At 46.1% G+C, this 17,830-nt stretch overlaps 2 long non-coding RNA genes across 9 annotated transcripts in view; one reads left to right on the top strand and one right to left on the bottom strand.

Moving 5' to 3' along the window:
- The window catches only part of MIR4435-2HG (MIR4435-2 host gene), a 299,296-nt gene that overhangs the window by 13,557 nt on the left and 267,909 nt on the right, over positions 1-17,830 (top strand). The window lies entirely within an intron of this gene.
- Positions 8,881-10,814, bottom strand: LOC124906065 (uncharacterized). The gene is made up of 2 exons (XR_007087188.1): positions 9,506-10,814; positions 8,881-9,356 (listed from the first exon to the last, which is right to left on the bottom strand). It is a non-coding gene; the product is annotated as an uncharacterized LOC124906065 (long non-coding RNA).

The following is a 17,830-nucleotide window of genomic DNA, read 5'->3' as shown; positions in this document are numbered from 1 at the left end:
TGTTGGGTGGGTGGGGCCCTGAGCTTATCCAGGCAACCCCAGGGGAAGTGTGGATGGATGGGTGGATGGGTAGGCCCTGGCCTTCAGGGAATGCACTGTGTGTGGTCTTCCAGCCCCAGCAAAGTCTCAGGGGGCCCCAGCGGGAAGTCGCCATCCTCAGGGGGTCCGAGTGGGGAGTCGCCATCCTCACGGTCAGCCGTGGTTTCGAACTGAGCTCCCAGGGGCGGAGACTCCATTCCCCCGGGGAACAATCTGATAGCCAGAAATGAGAGCAGTGAGTGACTTGGACGCTGTGTGATTCAGGAGGGTCCCAGTCCCTCAGAGTCGCCTGGACACCAGATTGTATTTACAAAACAGATGGATGAGGAAATGGAGATTGGATCTTCAAAAGAATTAACCTCAGATTTTATTTATTTATTTTAAAAATTTTAATTTTTCCCAAGGACCCTTTCCAAGTCAAGAATTGTTTTAAAAAGAAGCCTGGTGAAGGCAAATGCTGTCTGTGGCCGAAGGCACCGTGAGGAGCTGAGGCTGACTTATGTTTCTCCTCTGGGCTACGTGCGCCTCTAAGGAGTTCACACACTTTAACCCCCTTAGGAACCCTACATGATCATCCTCGTTTCTTAAAGAGGAAGCAGAGCCAGCAAACAAGTGGGGGAGCCACAGTTCCAGCCCAGGTGTCACTGGGCCCTGCCTGCCCCAGCCGGCTCCTCAGGAGCACACGGCACCCCACGCGCGTGCAGGGGACAGCTGTCCTCACAGGAACAGCCCTGGGACCTACAGGACTTCCTGGGGTTTACCCTCAGATCACCCATGAGGTTAGAATCACAAAGCCCGGGAGTCAGGAGACACAGGGCAGCTGGAGGGAGGTCTTTACTGAGGCTACTGAGGCACAGCAGCCCCGTCTAGAGGCCTCCCTGAGAGGCACTTCCTGAGGAGTCTGGTGGATTTTGAGCTGCTTTTTAAACAACCTTCTCCTTAGCATAGACACTGACACTGAAGGGAAAGAAAGCAAATGGTCTGTTCTTAGTGGGAAGGCAACTTGCTTTCAGGGGAATGAGTTTGGGGAAAGAGGACTGGTAGAAGACACGACTAAGAAAGTGAGTAGGAGTCCAGACGTGTGTGATTCATCCTTTAGGGCCTCTGTGTGTGATGGGTTGACTTGTGTCTCCCAAAATTCACATGTGGACGTCCTTGCCCCTGGCAGCTCAGACGTGACCTTATTTGGAAATAGTGCCATTGCCGATGTAATTAGTTCAAATGAGGTCATGCTGGAGTCGGGTGGGCCCCTGATCCCATATCACTGGTGTCCTTATAAGAAGGGGAAATTTCAAGACAGACACACACTCAGGGAGTGCACCATGTGAAGACTGGACTTAAACAGCTACACCACCAGAAGCCGAGAGAGAGGCTGGAACATAGCCTTCCCTTTGGAGGTAGCCTGGCCCAGTGGGCACTGTGATCTCAGACTTCCAGCCTTCAGAACTGTGAGACAATATTTTATTGTTTAAGCCACTTATTTTTTGGTACTTTCTTACGGCAGCCCTAGCAGATGCTAATCCAGCGTGCGTCCTGGCAGAGGTTGAAGGGGGCTCCTCAAGTCCCAGGTCCAGCTTGGTGTGGTTCAGCTACTCGAGAGACATCTGCTGCTAATGGATGAGCAGTCAACCTGGACGCAGGAAATCATTTTTTATTTGGGTGAATACAATATTCTCCTTTTGTTTTCACTTTTCCTAAAAGTTAAATCAAGGTTCAAAAGAAAATCGAGGTTCAAAAGAAAAATTTGGTCTTTACATGTGCTAAAAAGAAAAAAACAAAAAGACTCATTTCATCTTTATATGGGATGGGATCCGTGCTCTGGTGGGCTACAGAGTGTGTCTCTGTGTGGGTCCCTGTACTCCATGCGAGGTTGGCGGCCGAGCCATGGTTCCCATGTGAGCAGGACAGTACAGTCTCACCTCACACAGAGAACCTCGCCCGAACATGGAACTTTCACCCACATTGCCATTTTCCCGCTCCCTTTCCCTCCTTTGAGGTTCACACTCGTCTCTTCAAATTAAAATTTACAAAGAGAGGAGATGGAGGCTCCCAAGTGGCCACAAAGTCACATTTTATGTGAGACCTTTTTGCCTCATTTGCTAGTTATTGAACAAAGGTGACTCTGAACCTAGCAGAAGCACGGGTTCAACACACAGTTCAGAAAAACAGGAACCATCAATTCATAAGAACTTAAAGAAAAAAATAGTTTAAAGAACTGAGAAGTTGCCACATTATAGTGAAAGAATGTTGGGTTTTGGAAATGACAAAAACGAGCAATCTTCACCTCGAAAATCCGGTGGAGTCAGTTACACAAGACATAACCGCACACAAACATGGCATTTCTGATAATATAATGGCATTTACAGTCAAGAAGCTTCTTTCAGAGTATTTCATGGAAAGTTATTTTAGTAGCAAGGGTAGCCTTAAGCAGTGAGTATTCGTCAAGAGAGTGAAACCTTGACTTCAAAGTCAAGAGGCGGAGGAGTGAGGACTCAGATCTGGAGGCGACCTGCAGGGCGGGTGCCCACGCACAGGTGTCCCAGCTGTGGACATCCCACGTGCACGGGAGTGGGCCAAAGAGCGGCCCATGGATCCCTGCCCACCTCAGAAATGTGAGCAGGCAGCTGGGGGGCATTTGGACTCTAACCGGGACAACCTAGTGGCCGGGCAGGGGATGCAGGCACCACAGGTCACAGTAGTTTGCTACGAGTGTCAGCTTTTAAAATTTTAAATAATCCTCTTATTGTAAAATTGAGGACATTATTTGAAGCAACGCAAAAACCATGTAAAAAAAATGTCTGTAGGATATGAATAGCATGTTTCTTTAAGGCAATATCTGAAGAAAATATAAAAGCCCCAGGTGAAAGACACCCTGGGAGCAGAGGTGCCCCTGAGGGTCGGCTGCCCCAGGACAGAGGAGGGCTCTGCTGGTGCCCAGGTGGCACTGCCTGTCTTGATGCCAGGTGCAGGGGTTTAGAAGAAAAGACAAGGAAGAAAATAAAACTCACCACCGACATTCCTACCACTAGAGTTACCCACTGTTCCCAATCAGGCATATTTCCTCCCAATCCTGTCCTCTCTGTGTATTTGGTAATTGCGTAAACCATCTCTCCCATAATTAATCTCCTTTAAAATTTGGAATAATATAGTTGTTAGAATAATATAATAATCATGCAGAATAATTTAGAATAATGTTGTTTAGAACAATTTTTGTAGTCATGCTACCTTGCAGTCATTCATAACTCAGAAGAACTCTGCATTTAGAAGGTCTATTTAAAATGTGCCCTCTTTGCTGAAGAGTTAGTTTTATGGTAAAAATCCAATAAAATTGTAGCTAAGCACTGAAAAAAAGTAAAGGATTAAGCTCAGCCTCCAGAAATACTGATTTTATATATATTTGCTCTGGGGAAGATTGGTTTAAGAAGACCTATTGCTCTTTTATAAATTGCCTCCTTATATTTTTTGCCCTCTTTTCCCCTCCCTCCCTCCTTTATTCCCTCTGTCTCTTCCCTTTCCCCTCCCTCCCTCCCTTCGTTCCTTTCTTCCTTCTCCTTTTCTTCCTTTTTTTTATTGTTGTTCTGGGGGAACTTTTCTAATATCCTGGATTTTAAGACTTTGATATATATGCTGCAAATACTTTCTCTCAACCTGTCTTAACTTTCTTTACTGTGTCGTTTATATTATGGAACTATTTAACTTTTAAGTAGTTATTATTTTCCTTTTAACACCCAGGTTTTGTCTTGCTTAGAAAGTCTGTTCCTACCCCTAGATTCGAAAAATATCCTCAGATTTTTTTCTTCTGATACTTAGTAATTTTATTTTTGGTTTAAAATGTCAAGTCAAGTAGAACTTATTTTTGTTTATAATTTGAAGTAAGGGAGTTTCATTTTACCCTAAATGTGTAGCAAATTTTCCCAGACTATTTATTAAGTCATTCACTTTTTTCCTGCTGAAATTATGATATTTAAGTTGATAAGTTTTATGTGTTGGGGAGGTGTCAAATGGGCAGTTTCCAGTTGGAATGTGGGATTGGGTAGAGCTTTGACACAACGTCTGTGTCTTTCCGTCTCCCATGTGACTTCAGGGCAAAGAGGCAGAGGAATGGAGCTCAGAGCTTTTAGAGAATATGGGCCAGAAACAGGAAGGAGTCAGGACCTGATAACGGGAACCAGCGGACAGTGAACGCAGTGGAGGGCCACTGGGGCCGGAGCAGCCGAGAGATTTCAGGAGGTGAGCTTCAGAGAGCCTCGGCATAAATGGATCCAGGGTGTGGTCAGCTCAGGGAAAGACAGACAACCAGGGCTGAGCACAGGCCAGGCCAGGCCAGGCAGGGCCCCCGGAGAATCACGTTTTAGTATCTGCATATTGAGAAAGTTTGACCTTGAGTGTGAAATGTAGACAAGCAACCCAAATAAAAAATAGGCCTGATTGGGGCCAAAAACAAAACAGATTGATGAAAATAATCTCAAGAGTAGGAATGGACACAACCTACAAGAAGGAGACTGAACCCACCAAGTGTGGCGCTTGAGTCAAATCAAACGATTAGAGGCTGCCAAGTCGGCCCAAACCCCAAGAGCGTGGGAATCTGGGAGGGCACCGAGGGCTGGGCTGAGAGCCTCTTTTCAAGGAAGTCTTTCCAGGATGCTGTACTTCTGTCTTGCCACCTTGCAGGCCTTACAGTGAGACCATGAAGTCCCTGGCACTCTCCCTGTCGGACCCGTGGCCGATGTTGATATCTGCTCGGCCGGCCTCACAGGTGTGCGCGCTGTGCAGTCGCTTAGGGCCTCCCCTGCGCAGAAGGGCCTGGCTTGGTTTAATGCCCTGCTGTTACCATCTTAAAATTCTTAATGGCTTTTGAACAAAGGCCGCACATGTTCATTTTGCACCGCTTTGTAATTACATAATTTAAAACTCTGTGCTTTTCTCTTCCTTTTTATTAAAAACAAGAATGTCAGAAATTGCCCCTTTAAAACTGTAAAACAAGAAGGCATTAAACTCTTAATATTTCAGGTCAAATTTGACACTGTCTCTGGACATGCAGGTCTGGGTATTGGTGGGCCTTAGCCCCTTTCCTGCTGAGCCCAGAAGATGCTTCTAGTCACCTAGCATAGGTCTCTAGGGGGCCTCTGCCACAAGGCAGGGCCAGCGCCAAATGACATGCAGTTGCCTTTGATGAATGGGACTCTCCACCACTGCTTTATGTAAACAGCAGGTCCTGATATATGAAATGTGGCTTCAAAGCAACTTAAAGAAATGAAGGGTCAAGGATAGAATATGTGATGAGATTCTGATACCATGGAGCCTCCAGCCCCATGGCTTGCTGTGCTTGGGCTGTGTTCTCTGTCCTGGAAGGGTCCACAGAGAGGGCAGGCTGCCAGCAGGAGGCCTGCCTGCTCCACCAGACTGATGACACTTATTCCACTTGGTTCCCAGAACTAAGAGGTCAGGGGCCATGAAGGACTAGTTGCAGGAGAACACTCTGTCTTAATTTAAGGCATGCTCTGTGGAGTGGGGCTGTTGGGCAGCCTTTCCAATTTATCCACCCATCCCTGGGATCTCTTGGGATTGAGAAACTGAGTTTCTCCAGGGTTCTTCTCTCACCACTCATATCCTGCAACCTTAGGGTCCTCCCTGTACTGGGTATCAGCCTGGTCTCAGCATTCAGGGACTCAGAGAGAATAATCAGAGGTGCATTTCTATCACTGTGAGGACCTTAGGCTCAGGCCAATAATGCAAAGAAGCACCCTACCTGGGAGAAACTTACTGTCTAGTTGTAAAGAAAGCACCAGGGGGCCATGATGCCCATCCCACCCATGTTCCCACCCAAACTCTCCTAAACCCACAGCTCCCAAACAAGTCCTGGATTGTACAGATCAGGCTCCAGCCAAGGTGAGCTCACTGAGGTCAGAGCTTACAGAATCTGGGAGCTCAACCAACATGATGGCTTCAGAGATGAAATACCCAGCACATCCAGCTGCAGTTGCCCCATAAGGAGCAGAAAGTTTGCTATCACTTCCTCTGTACTGTTTTTATGTTCAGGTGACCTGTGGGTCAGTTGTTTGTAATGTGGTGATGCCTGTAAAGGGAGCACTGGAGGTCAGGGGGTGCCAGTGAGTGGAGGAGACCATTATAAATACTGTGTCCCCAAAGGGTGTACAGTCAAATAAATATAGCATGGGAAAAGCCAGGTTGACCCAAGAGAAACATCTTTTTCTAAAAATCTGCAAGACTTCTCAGAGCCTTTGGTCGTGCATTTTAAATATCCAAATATGTGTTTTGAAAATATGTGAAACAGCATAACATTTGTGGTATATGTTAAATGTAGATGATGGTGGAACTTTCTGTTTTTTTCTTAGAGAATTTCATGGGACCAGGCTTCCAAAAAACACAAATGTTTTGAGGACAAAACATATGAATATTGTAGAAGATTAGAAGCAATAAATTACTATAGGCAGAAGATAAGTGACATTGGATTGAAATTTTTAAAATGGGAAAATAATTACAAATGGAGGAGTGGCATGGTCAGAGGCGGAGTGCAGGTGCCTGTGGCACATCTGGGCTCACTGGCTCAGGCAAGCTGCGGTGGAGCAGGAGGCTGGGGACATGTGTGTAGAGTCCCAACTGTCAGATCACAGTGTTGGGTTGGGTCTTCCACCTGCAGGGGCGTGTGTGTGTGTGTGTGTGTGTGTGTGTGTGTGTCTGTGTGTCTGTGCACATGTGTGTGTGTGCTGCTTAGAGTTTTTGAGCAAAGTATGGAATGATCAATGTGCAGCTTTAGAATAATGACTTGGTGGGAAGAATTGAAGTGAAGAAACACTGGAGATTTGTAGCCCTCCTAGAAGTCACTTTCAGCATGGATCTTGGTGTGGCCTGGAAGGAAAGGACCTGGCTTGTGGGAGGCAGCAGCAGAATGGACACATGAGAGCCACAATCAAGACAGACGTGGCAGGGTGAATAACTGGCTGAATTGTGAAACTCTAGGCTGCCCATATTACACTGACATTTTGAGAATTCAGAACAGATGGCAACACCTGGGCCCCTGCCTGTGCAGATGGGCCAGAAAAACGTGACACGTGTGAAGGTGGGCATGGGGTGGCAGCAGTTTCTCTCGCCCAAGCATTAAGAGTGTTACAGAGCAGAACTGTTATTACGGAATTGGTGAAGCACCTCTGGGGGACTCCCCCTCCTTCCCCCAAGTATATGTTGGCTAAGTAGCCACCAATAACAAATGGAGACACCTGCATGCTCCTGCAGCCACTGCAGTGTGGCCAGCTCCTCTGCTGGGCTATACACGTGGAGATCGTGTAAGTGACCAGGGCCAATGTCTCTGGCAGCCATGGAGAAACAGGCGGCCCAGCCAGGCCCTTTCACTGCCCGTGATGGACAGCTTGCCATCGCTGGTCAATAGCTGCACTCCCAGATAGTATTAGGTAATATATAATTAATAAAGAATATTCCAGTTGATCTGGTTCTTTTAAAACAAGGAAACTTCTTGCTATTTGGTACCCACAAATTCCACTACTCCCTGAATTGTATGTCCTGAAATCTCACAAATTTGCATGCTGACATTGTTAATAAAGGAACAGGAGATAATTTAAACGGCCCTGTGGTTTGGAAGTCACAGGTTCTGCTGCTTCATGTTCATGCACGAGACTAAGAGCCTTTGAAGAAGATCACTTCCTAGACCAAGGCTTTATGTTTGGATTAAATGCAGCTCCTCCAGATCATCTCCTGAGGAGATTCAGCCAGCCTCTGTTCTCTCTACTATCCCCGTCTTCTTGCCTCATCCCATGCACACATTTATATGTGTTCACATTTATGCATGGACATGCTCTAGTGTGCCCTCTAGTGCAGACATTTTATGCATGAAACTTTAACCCCTCTTGCATCAAGGCATATAAGCAGAAGAGATGAGTGGAAAGATTTTAGGGCTTGGAAGGGCAAACGTGATAGTCACTGTACATTATAAAGAACACCAAATGACAGTGTGCTTTGGAATATACTACTAGGAATGTTTCTGCTTTGCAATTAGAAAGTAATGACATTGAAAGGAAGTGAAAAAAAATCACAGGTATATAATTCAGCGCCGAATTGATGAGGACACAGAGGTGAACTAGAAAGGCATCCCAGTGGAAACCACTTACAGCCATGCCATAAAAGCAAGATCTAAGCAATGGGGATATAAAAAAGGAAGGGAAATTGATGAAGATGACTTGGGGTGACGTGACCTGGAGTTTAGGGAGGGACAGGGACTTGCCTTGGACTCACTATGGGTGCTCATGAAGGAGGCAGCATTTGGACAAGGCCCTGAGAGGCAGGTGGGTTTGGATGTGCAGTGGTGGTCCGGGTGTGTGGAGCGGGGGTCAGCATGTGCAAAGGCATGGAGGTCAGCAAACCAAGGCTGAGAGCACAAGAGGTTCACTGTGTGTCTTCCAGCTGCCCAGTGAGCACATGGAGGTAAAGGTGCACAACTCGGTAAGCGACAGGAGTTTGTGTGGATCAGGCCTGCTGTGACATAAATATGCAAATGATGTGGTCCCTCGTGGTACCACCCTCAGGATGACACACTCTTCTACCAAAACATGGCTGAAAATTTTTGGTGTGTGGGGGTGTACCCTGGGAGCCCATTTAGAAGCTACAGTGAAAAGAGCCCTCATTGCTTCAGCTTTGAGCCATCTGGGCCCTCGCACCTGGCTCATTTCACCTGACAGTTTCTAAAACTTCTCACAAGGAATTTGTCGGTTTATTACACATCCATAGAATGCCCTGAAGAGCTATTCCAAAAGAAGAGCTTGAAAGTCGAACGCTAAGCAGAAAAACAGTGACTTCCAAACCACAGGGTTTGTTTGAATTATCAACTTAGTCCTTTATTAACAACTTCAAGGTGCAAATTTGTGAGATTCCAGACAGGCAGTTCAATGAGCAGCTGGATTTTGCTGGTTCCCAAGAGCAAGGAAAATTCCCTTGTTTTAAAGAGCCAGATCCATTTGGAATAGTCTTTCTTCCCCACATATTACAGCATGAACGTGACTCTAAAGTACCTGCCGAGGGTCTTTCTTTTTGTGACGGTGGGCGCTGTTCCCCACTGTCGTGGACTTCTCACAGCGCTCAGTGTGCATTCAGTTGCTTCTCTCCATAACGCCTCTCAGCTAACTGTGCTGTTTCTGTGCTCCTGGGTTGTTAATGTTCAAGTCTTGGCTCTATACCATTTTCCTTATCATTTAGGATTCCACTGGGAAGACATCACTAAGTTGTGAAATCAAACTTCATGAGTTGGCTGAGATCATAGGGTTGGGTGTCCTCTGAGCACTTGCAGGCTGGGGGAAGACAGAAAACCTGGACACCTTGCAATTGTTTGCAACAAAGTGGAAAAACTAAAGTAGTTTTGATATGTGCATTAGTTTGCTTGGACTGCTATAACGAAATACTACTTGGTGGCTTAAACAACAGAAATTTCTTTTCTTACAGTCCTGGAGGCTGGAAGTGCAAAAGGAAGGTGTCGGCAAGATCGTTTTTTTCTGAGAGCTCTCTCCTTGGCTTGCAGATGGCAGCTTGCTCCTGGCACAGTCTTTTCTCTGTATGTGCTCATGTCTGTGTCCTGATTTCCATTTCCTAGTAGGGCCAGTCAAATTGGATTAGGGCCTAAAGTAATTATCTCATTTTACTTTACTTCTTTAAAGGCCATATGTCCAAATACAGTCACATTCTGGGGTGCTAGAGGTTAAGATTTCAACATATGAATTTGCAGGGGACACATCTCCACCCATAACAATTTGTTTTTCGTAATACGTTTAAAATACCCATTTCTGGGCTGGACGCAGTGGCTCATGCCTATAATCCCAGCACTGTGGGAGGATCACTTGAGCCCAGGAGTTTGAGACCAGCCTGGGCAACATAGCCAGACTCTATCTATAAAAAAAAATACACACACACACAAACTTGGCCAGATACAGTGGTGCACACCTGTAGTCCTAGCTGCTTGGGGGACTGAGGTGGGAGGGTCGCTTGAGCCCAGAAGTTTGAGGTTACAGTGAGCTATGATCATGCCACTGCCCTCCAGCCTGGGCAACAAAGCAAGACTGTGTTACTTAAAAAATAAAATAAAACAAAAAGACCCACTTCCATTTATTTCACCCATGGATAAATTGTGCAGCAAGTGGTTAGGTGAAATGTGAAATGTCTGGCCAATTATTGTCATCATGCTCAATTATAGAGACACAGTATGCTCCCCTTTGCATTCTTCATTGCTGATTCTGTGCTTTACATCTGGCAGCTACAAAAATTTAGTATTTTGCTAGCAGGTGCATCAAATCTATTTTTGGTTTCAAACAATACACTTTTTGTTTTCAACGATTCTGACCAGTAGTCAACAATTGCAAGTATGTGGAATGTGATTCTCCTGCTTTGGGAACAAGGGAGCTCCCAGTTTTGTGGGCAGGATCCAACATTCCCATCATAAGGGCAGCCTCACCTGTCTGTACCTCTGACACCTCAGTCAGAGCCCTTGGAGTCGGCTAGGCCAGTTTTGGCCCTCCTTACTGAGACCTAGTCATTCTGTAGACATACTTCATTCTCCCAGGCTTGGGCTTCTGGTTCAACCTGTGGCTCTGACATTATCACCAGAAGATATCCATCTGGCCCACCTTCTGTGGCTTTTTTCCCATGCACCTTTCAGACTAAATTGTATACGCTCATCCTCCAAAGGGTTGGCTGTCTTTGGTGGTATTTTGGCCTGAGTTCTGCCTTGGATTTATGTTTTTTGTTACATATATATATATATATATATATATATATATATATATATATTTTTTTTTTTTTTTTTTCTTTTTTTTTGAGATGGAGTCTCACTCTGTTGCCCAGGCTGGAGTACAGTGGTGTGATCTAGATTCACTGCTACCTCTGCCTCCTGGGTTCAAGCGATTCTCCTGTCTCAGCCTCCAGAGTAGCTGGGATTACAGGCATGCACCGTCATGCCTGGCTAATTTTTGTATTTTCAGTAGAGACGGGGTTTCACCATGTTGGCCAGGTTGGTCTCGAACTCCTGATCTCAGGCGATCCACTCGCCTAGGCCTCCCAAAGTGCTGGGATTACAGGCGTGAGCCTACCGCGCCCAGCCTTATTTCATAATTTTTGATCGTAATTCCACCCACATGTTCTATTCATGTGAAATTTACTAAGGTGAGACCAAGTGGAGATAAAAACTATCTAAACGAAAAACTTAGGTCTCTCTTTCAGACTTTTTTTTGGTTTTATGGTGGTAAATACAACCCACTTGGCCTTTCCCCTGAGACTACTGGTTCTTTTGTCACTGGAGTCCCAGAGATCAGGGTTTGAACTAGCCTACCACTTACTGGTCATGTAACTTTGGGCAATTCAGTTTGCATCCCTAAGCCTCAATGTCTTCATCTGTAGGATGGAGGTAACCATAATGCCTGTCTCAGAGGCTGCTGCTAGTGTTAACTGTGGGACACAACACAGAGTAAGGCACAGACGAGGTGTGCAGAAAACATCAGCTTCGTGGTTTTTTACTCTTCTGCACTTGCTGTAGCATTCTGCAAAGCTATTATTCCTTTCCTAGACTCACGCCCAAAGTTACGGAGGACCCAGCAACCATCTCCTGCAGCCCCTGAAAACCTCTTGACTCTTCTGTGATGTCCCCAGTGATCCAGCAGCCCCGGCCTTCTTTTGATGGCTTGAACATTTGGTCTTCATTGAACAGTTTGTATATTGGAAACTTGCCAGCCTCCATCCACATTCCAACCTCCGTCTGCATCCCTCGGTACAAAATGGTTCAATCTGTCTACCTCCTTTCACATTCCACCAAGATATTCCAAGGTCCAGGGTTCCTTTGACCACCTCACACCTAACAAGTTCCCTCACTGTCTCTCACTCTCCCCTGAAGATTCTAAGCTGCCTCTGTCCTGCTAAAACTGTAGACCTGAGAATGAAGTAAGGTGCTTCAGGTGAGGTTTGATCAGCCCAGAGCAGAAAGGGGCCACCTCCTCCCACCCTATAAGACCCTATTAGTGCACCTTGGAGCCCTTTGCTTGGCTGGTGGCTACAATACACTTCTGTTAATGACGGAATTCCATAACATTTTTCCCCATTAATTTCTGCTACAAAACACAAAAGTCTTAGCCAGGTGTGGTGGTGCACACCTGTTGTCCCAGCTACTCAGGAGTCTGAGGTGAGAGGATCACTGAGCCTGGGAGGCAGAGGTTACAGTGAGCCAAGATGGCGCCGTTGTACTCCAAGCTGGGTGACAGAGGGAGACCCTGTCTCAAAAACAAAAAACAAAACAAAACAAAAAAACAAACCAAATACACACACACACACACACACACACACATACACACACACACATAAAAGTCTCATATTTTACACTTATGAAGTTAGGTGGGTTTTTTTTTGTTTGTTTCTTTGTTTTGTTTTGTTTTGTTTTGTTTTGTACCCAAAAGTACATAACCTACTACTACCTACCTTTTTGGTTTTTTTTTTTTTTTTGAGATGGAGTCTTGCTCTGTCACCCAGGCTGGAGTGCAATGGTGCTATCTCAGCTTACTGCAACCTCTGCCTCCCAGGTTCAAGCGATTCTCCTGCCTCAGCCTCCCGAGTAGCTGGGATTACAGGCACCTGTCACCACACCTGGCTAGTTTTGTATTTTTAGTAGAGACAGGATTTCACCATGTTGGCCAGGCTGATTTTGAACTCCTGACCTCAGATGATCCACCCGCCTCAGCCTCCCAAAGTGCTGGGATTACAGGTGTGAGCCACTGCGCCCGGCCCCTTTCCTAAGGTTTTCTAAAGCATGTTTGTGGCAATCTATCTTAGAATCTTGTCAAAGGTAAATACAAGGTTCAGGGTTTACGGAGCCACCTTCTAGCCCTTTAAGCCACCAGAATTGCTGGTGTCTTATGGACTCCTGAGAAGTTTGTGGTGGTGATTCTTAGAGCTCAGCTCCCAACTGCTGGACTGCCGGTCACTGGGCAGAAACAGAACTCAGTTCTCATCACCTGGATGCCATTTCATACTCTCCACCCTCTCCTGGGCTTCAGTTGCCCCACACAATGTCAGTCTCTTTGTGATGGTTAGTTTTATGTGCCAACTTTGCTAGGGCATGGTACCCAGATATTTGGTCAAACATTATCCTGGATGTTTCTGTGAAGGCACTTTTTAGCAGATTAACATTTAAATCAGTAGATTTTGGCAAAGCAGAGTCATAATGTGGGTGGGCCTCATCCAGTCAGTTGAAGGCCTTAATAGAAAATGATGGGCTGGGCGCGGTGGCTCACGCCTGTAATCCCAGTGCTTTGGGAGGCTGAGGCAGGCGGATCATGAGGTCAGGAGATTGAGACCTTCCTGACTAACATGGTGAAACCCTGTCTCTACTAAAAATACAAAAAATTAGCCAGGTATGGTGGCAGGCGCCTGTAGTCCCAGCTACTCTGGAGGCTGAGGCAGGAGAATGGCGTGAACCCGGGAGGCGGAGCTTGCAGTGAGCTGAGATGGCACCACTGCACTCCAGCCTGGGTGACAGAGTGAGACTCCGTCTCAAAAAAAAAAAAAAAAAAAGAAAAGAAAATGACGAACCTCCCCAAAGAAGATTGGATTCTGTCAGCTGACCCAAACTGCAACAGGGACTCCTGGGGTCTCTGCCTGCCAGCCTGCCCTGTGGATTTTGGACTTGCCAGCCCTTACCATTGTGGGAACCTAATCCTTAAACAACTCAATCTCCACTACCCTCCTCGCCCTTCTCTCTCTCTCTCTCTCACACACACACCCACCCACCCACCCCCCCCCCCCCCACACACACACATCCAATTGATTCTGTTTCTTTGGAGAACTCTGACTAACACAGTCTCCTTCTCAGTATTAATATTTTTTTCTTGGACAGAAAATGTAGATAAAATAGAAGTCTAGAAGTTCTGTTTTCTCTCACGACCAAATTCTTCTATTTCTCTTTTAACCCATTCAGATTTGTGAGTCCCGGAGCGTGCTTTGCCAGGGCTCTGTTGAGTTCCACAGTGCATTGAGCACCACTATGTGGGAGGCACTGGCTCCCAACAGGCAGCAGGCACCTTTTCCCTAATGAACTGTCTTTCCAGGTTTCACTCAAGCCCTTTCTATCAGACTTCTACCATGCAGCTCTGCCAATGTCTTTAAGCATCTCTCCCTTCTTCCTGACTGTCCTGACCAAGAAACTCCCTAATCTCTAATATCTAAAGTCATGAAGCCAATTGCATCATTAGATGTGCAGTATATATAAATAACATTTACTTACAAGAATATTTTTATAGAAATGTATGTAAACATACTTACATACGTTTCTATAAATACATTTAAATTCCTAAAGACTTGTTTGAGCAATTTAAAAAAAAAATGCTCCAGTTTAACTTCCTACTACAATTAGGAATTTGGGGCAGGGTGCATAATTGCCAGTGTACTCACAGTGACTGCAATTAGAATGTACTGTGGAGTCAGAGGAACTGCCTGACAGTGCCGGGCAGTTGACCCTGGGCTGGGTTCAGAGCTCTCCAGTGGCCACTGAGAAGTAGGAGAGTGTTTCCTGCACAATCCTGATTTCTTGGGGGAGGAGGTACTATTGCACGCTGCTGGGTGGAGCCTCTGAAACTCTCCTGGGCCAGGTCTCCTCCCGTGCTTCCTCTCCCTGAGGCAGCCTCACCTCTTGACGCCTGTCCCCAGCACACCCTTCTGTAGCTTTCCTCTGACTCACCCCTCTGTGTGTCTTTCTCTCCAACTTGGGGTCCTGTCACCTAGGCCTCTCTCCTTTTTCCTAGGTGGCTGGCAGTTGCTCTTCCCTTGGTTTTCTCTAATTTGATCTCTTTCCCACCCTTCCAGTCTGCCACAGTCACCCTTGACATCCGCAGAATCCACCCTCCTTGGAAGGGATGAGGAAGGCGGTTTATATAACTCAATTTCATTTGTAATGTTTCAAATGGTATTTTTTTTCTGGGAATAATTGGCGCTGGATTCTGAACTATCTTTCCTGTTGCAAAGAATGAAATCCCTTCTAGGTGATGGGGCTTGATCTTTCTCTGTTGCAATAGCAGCGATGTCCAAAACAATCAATCAGAGGCATTTTCTACCGTACCTGAGCCATTCAGTGGTTTCGACCTCTGCTCCAGATTACCCAGGGTTATTCAGATGGGTTAATGCGAGTCCTTAGAATGGTGTTTCCCACCTTGAGAGTGGGTTGTTGGCTAGGTGTGTGGGGGAGCTGTTTGTCTACACCTCAGAAACGCTCACAACAGCAGGTTCCAGGGAAAGTCCCTGGGTGTCCAGTAAAAGCTGGGTCGCCCTCCCTAGGGGGCTCTGAGACTAGCAGAACTGATGGCCCCATAATTTGAGCACAGGTATGCATATTTCATAGGGGTTGGTGGGCAGACTCATTCATGTTCCCATCCCAGGGGTGCAGGGGACCCTTCTCCCTTCCCCACATCAGCCCAGGGCTACAGAAGCTCCTCAGGAGGCAAGGAAGGGAATGGAGAGGACAAGAGTGCCTACAGAGTGGGAAGGAGACAAGGATTCTCAGGTATTTATCCAGGGTAAGGGCAAGGGCTTTTCTGCAGTCCAGGACATTAGAAGAGTCCTGAACCAAGAACTCCACCCCTGCCCCGATATCAGCTGTTTTTACTGACTGAGCTGTTGGAGAACAGTTTTGGTGTGCGGAAACAGTGAGATCCCTAACCCTACACCCCTGAACCCAGCAGATATATCCACACTGACCAGAAAGGACTGGCTAACCACAAGCCTGCCTGTGCATGGCAGGGAAAGGAAAGCCATTCTTGAGTAAATGGTGTTCAAAGGTTGGGCAATATATGTGTATGGTGTTCTCCTGTGGACATAATTGTGCACAAGGGTCAGAAGAAATTGCTTTCATTGGGCAAGCTACTTAACCTGTCTAAAGCTTTGTTTTTTTATGATCTGTAAATGAAGACAGATCCTATCTCATGGCTCTGCACGTCACACAGCGATAGCAGACAGGTAATTAGGATGCAGGTAGTTAGCAGACAGCCAGGGTATACTTTAGCTGTTCAAGTTTCCTCAACCTGGCCTCCTAGCCATGACCTTTCACAGAGGTGCAAATCATCTATGAGTTTGCACAGAATCCCCTGCAAGGAAATATGTTCTTGTTCTTGACTTACATTTGAGTTGGTTGGTCTTACAGTTAAGGCGGAGGTCATCACTCTTAATAAAGGCCATTTTAAGTGGAGTGACAAGTCACTAAGGGACTTGTTGGCATTGTTTACTTCTTATCCAGGGCTTTCCAAGAAGGGACAGTGTGTCTGAGTTTTTATCTTATGAAGGTTTCCCACCTGCAGTTTAGTTTACTATTATTTTAAGGGCTGTTTATAAATGAACTAGCTTGTCTTTGCACTCAGGGTAATTCACAGATTTGTCAGTGACTTCATTGCAGCTGTGAGCTTTACACGAACCTTGCAATCCGCCTTGAAAAATGAAACTGAGTATAAGTGGGGACCAAGGAAGAATGTTTTTGAGGGAAATAGAAATTACCATCCTAAAAATGGTTCCTTCTGTGTGTCTGCTGATAGAAACCCTTGACCTCTTTAGAAACAACCGCAAAATTATTCACTACGATTATCTGAATCTCATAAATAAAATAATGATTACAGCTGCATGGAATTATTCAGGTCTAAATTCATATAAACATATCCCTAATGAATTTATTTATCATGACAGGAAAGGAAAGCATAGCTTTGTGCACCCCATCCCACACCCTCCACCCCCTACAAATTTTACTAACACTGTTTCTGGGTTCAGAATTTTTTTGCCTGAGTTGGTACCTCAAATCACTTGAGTTAAACTGCAAATGAATCACACATAATGCAGATAAAATGACTTCATGCCCTAATTTCTAGAACGTGACCTGAATGTGAACTAGACATTCGTTTTCCTAAACCCCATGAGACCCAGGTATTCTTGACATGTGTAGCGAGGATTGAAGGGGCCCGAGGCTGTCTGTCCACTCTCCGTGGGCCTGGCTCTCCTTGGACCAAATCGAATGCATGGGAACACACCCCCCAGTTGTCTTTTTCCTTCGGTTTATATAATTCCTGGCATGTGCCTTTCAACACTCCGTTTATGTTAGAAGTTTGGTATTAGCCTCGGGGCTTTACTCTTGACACTGCTACTAATTCTCTACTTTATATTCGTGATTGCCCTTCTGAAAGGAGAATCTTGTTTCAAAATTGCACCTGGGCATTTTAAAGTAAATAGGATGCAAATCCTTAGTTGGCCTCTTGTGTACATTAACTTCAGAGTGAAGAATGAATATGTAAGCCAGTGATGGGGGATGGGGAGTTGAGCAAGGAAAATAATTTGCATAATGGTGTTTGCTCCCTGGTGAAACTGAAACCCAGCCTGTGTGGGTGGGGCCTTGTTTCCAAACGTCAGCGCTGCTGCCCACGAAGGCCTGCACCAACGCACGGTGCCCTCCGGGCCGCCCACAGAGGCCGGCGTCTGGCCAGGAGCAGGGGCTGGGGACAGCAAGTGTGAAACCAGCTGAAGCACCTGCAGCTCAGGCGGGCTGCAGGCTCCCTGCTCTCCCCCTGTGAAGAAGCACACATTGTTCTTTCTTCCCGCACATTTGAATCTCTCAGTGGGGTCTCATTTTCTGTGACATGGCAAACTTCAAAAAATGGGAGTAAATCATTTCTAAAGAGCTTAGCTAGGCATGGTGGCTCACGCCTGTAATCCCAGCACTTTGGAAGGTCGAAGTGGGATGATTGCTTGAGCCCAGAAGTTTGAG

Source organism: Homo sapiens, chromosome 2 (assembly GCF_000001405.40).
Source record: "Homo sapiens chromosome 2, GRCh38.p14 Primary Assembly".
NCBI classification, from domain to species: domain Eukaryota; kingdom Metazoa; phylum Chordata; class Mammalia; order Primates; family Hominidae; genus Homo; species Homo sapiens.
Note: the sequence above shows the minus strand (reverse complement) of the source record. Positions and strands in the feature narration are given on the sequence as shown.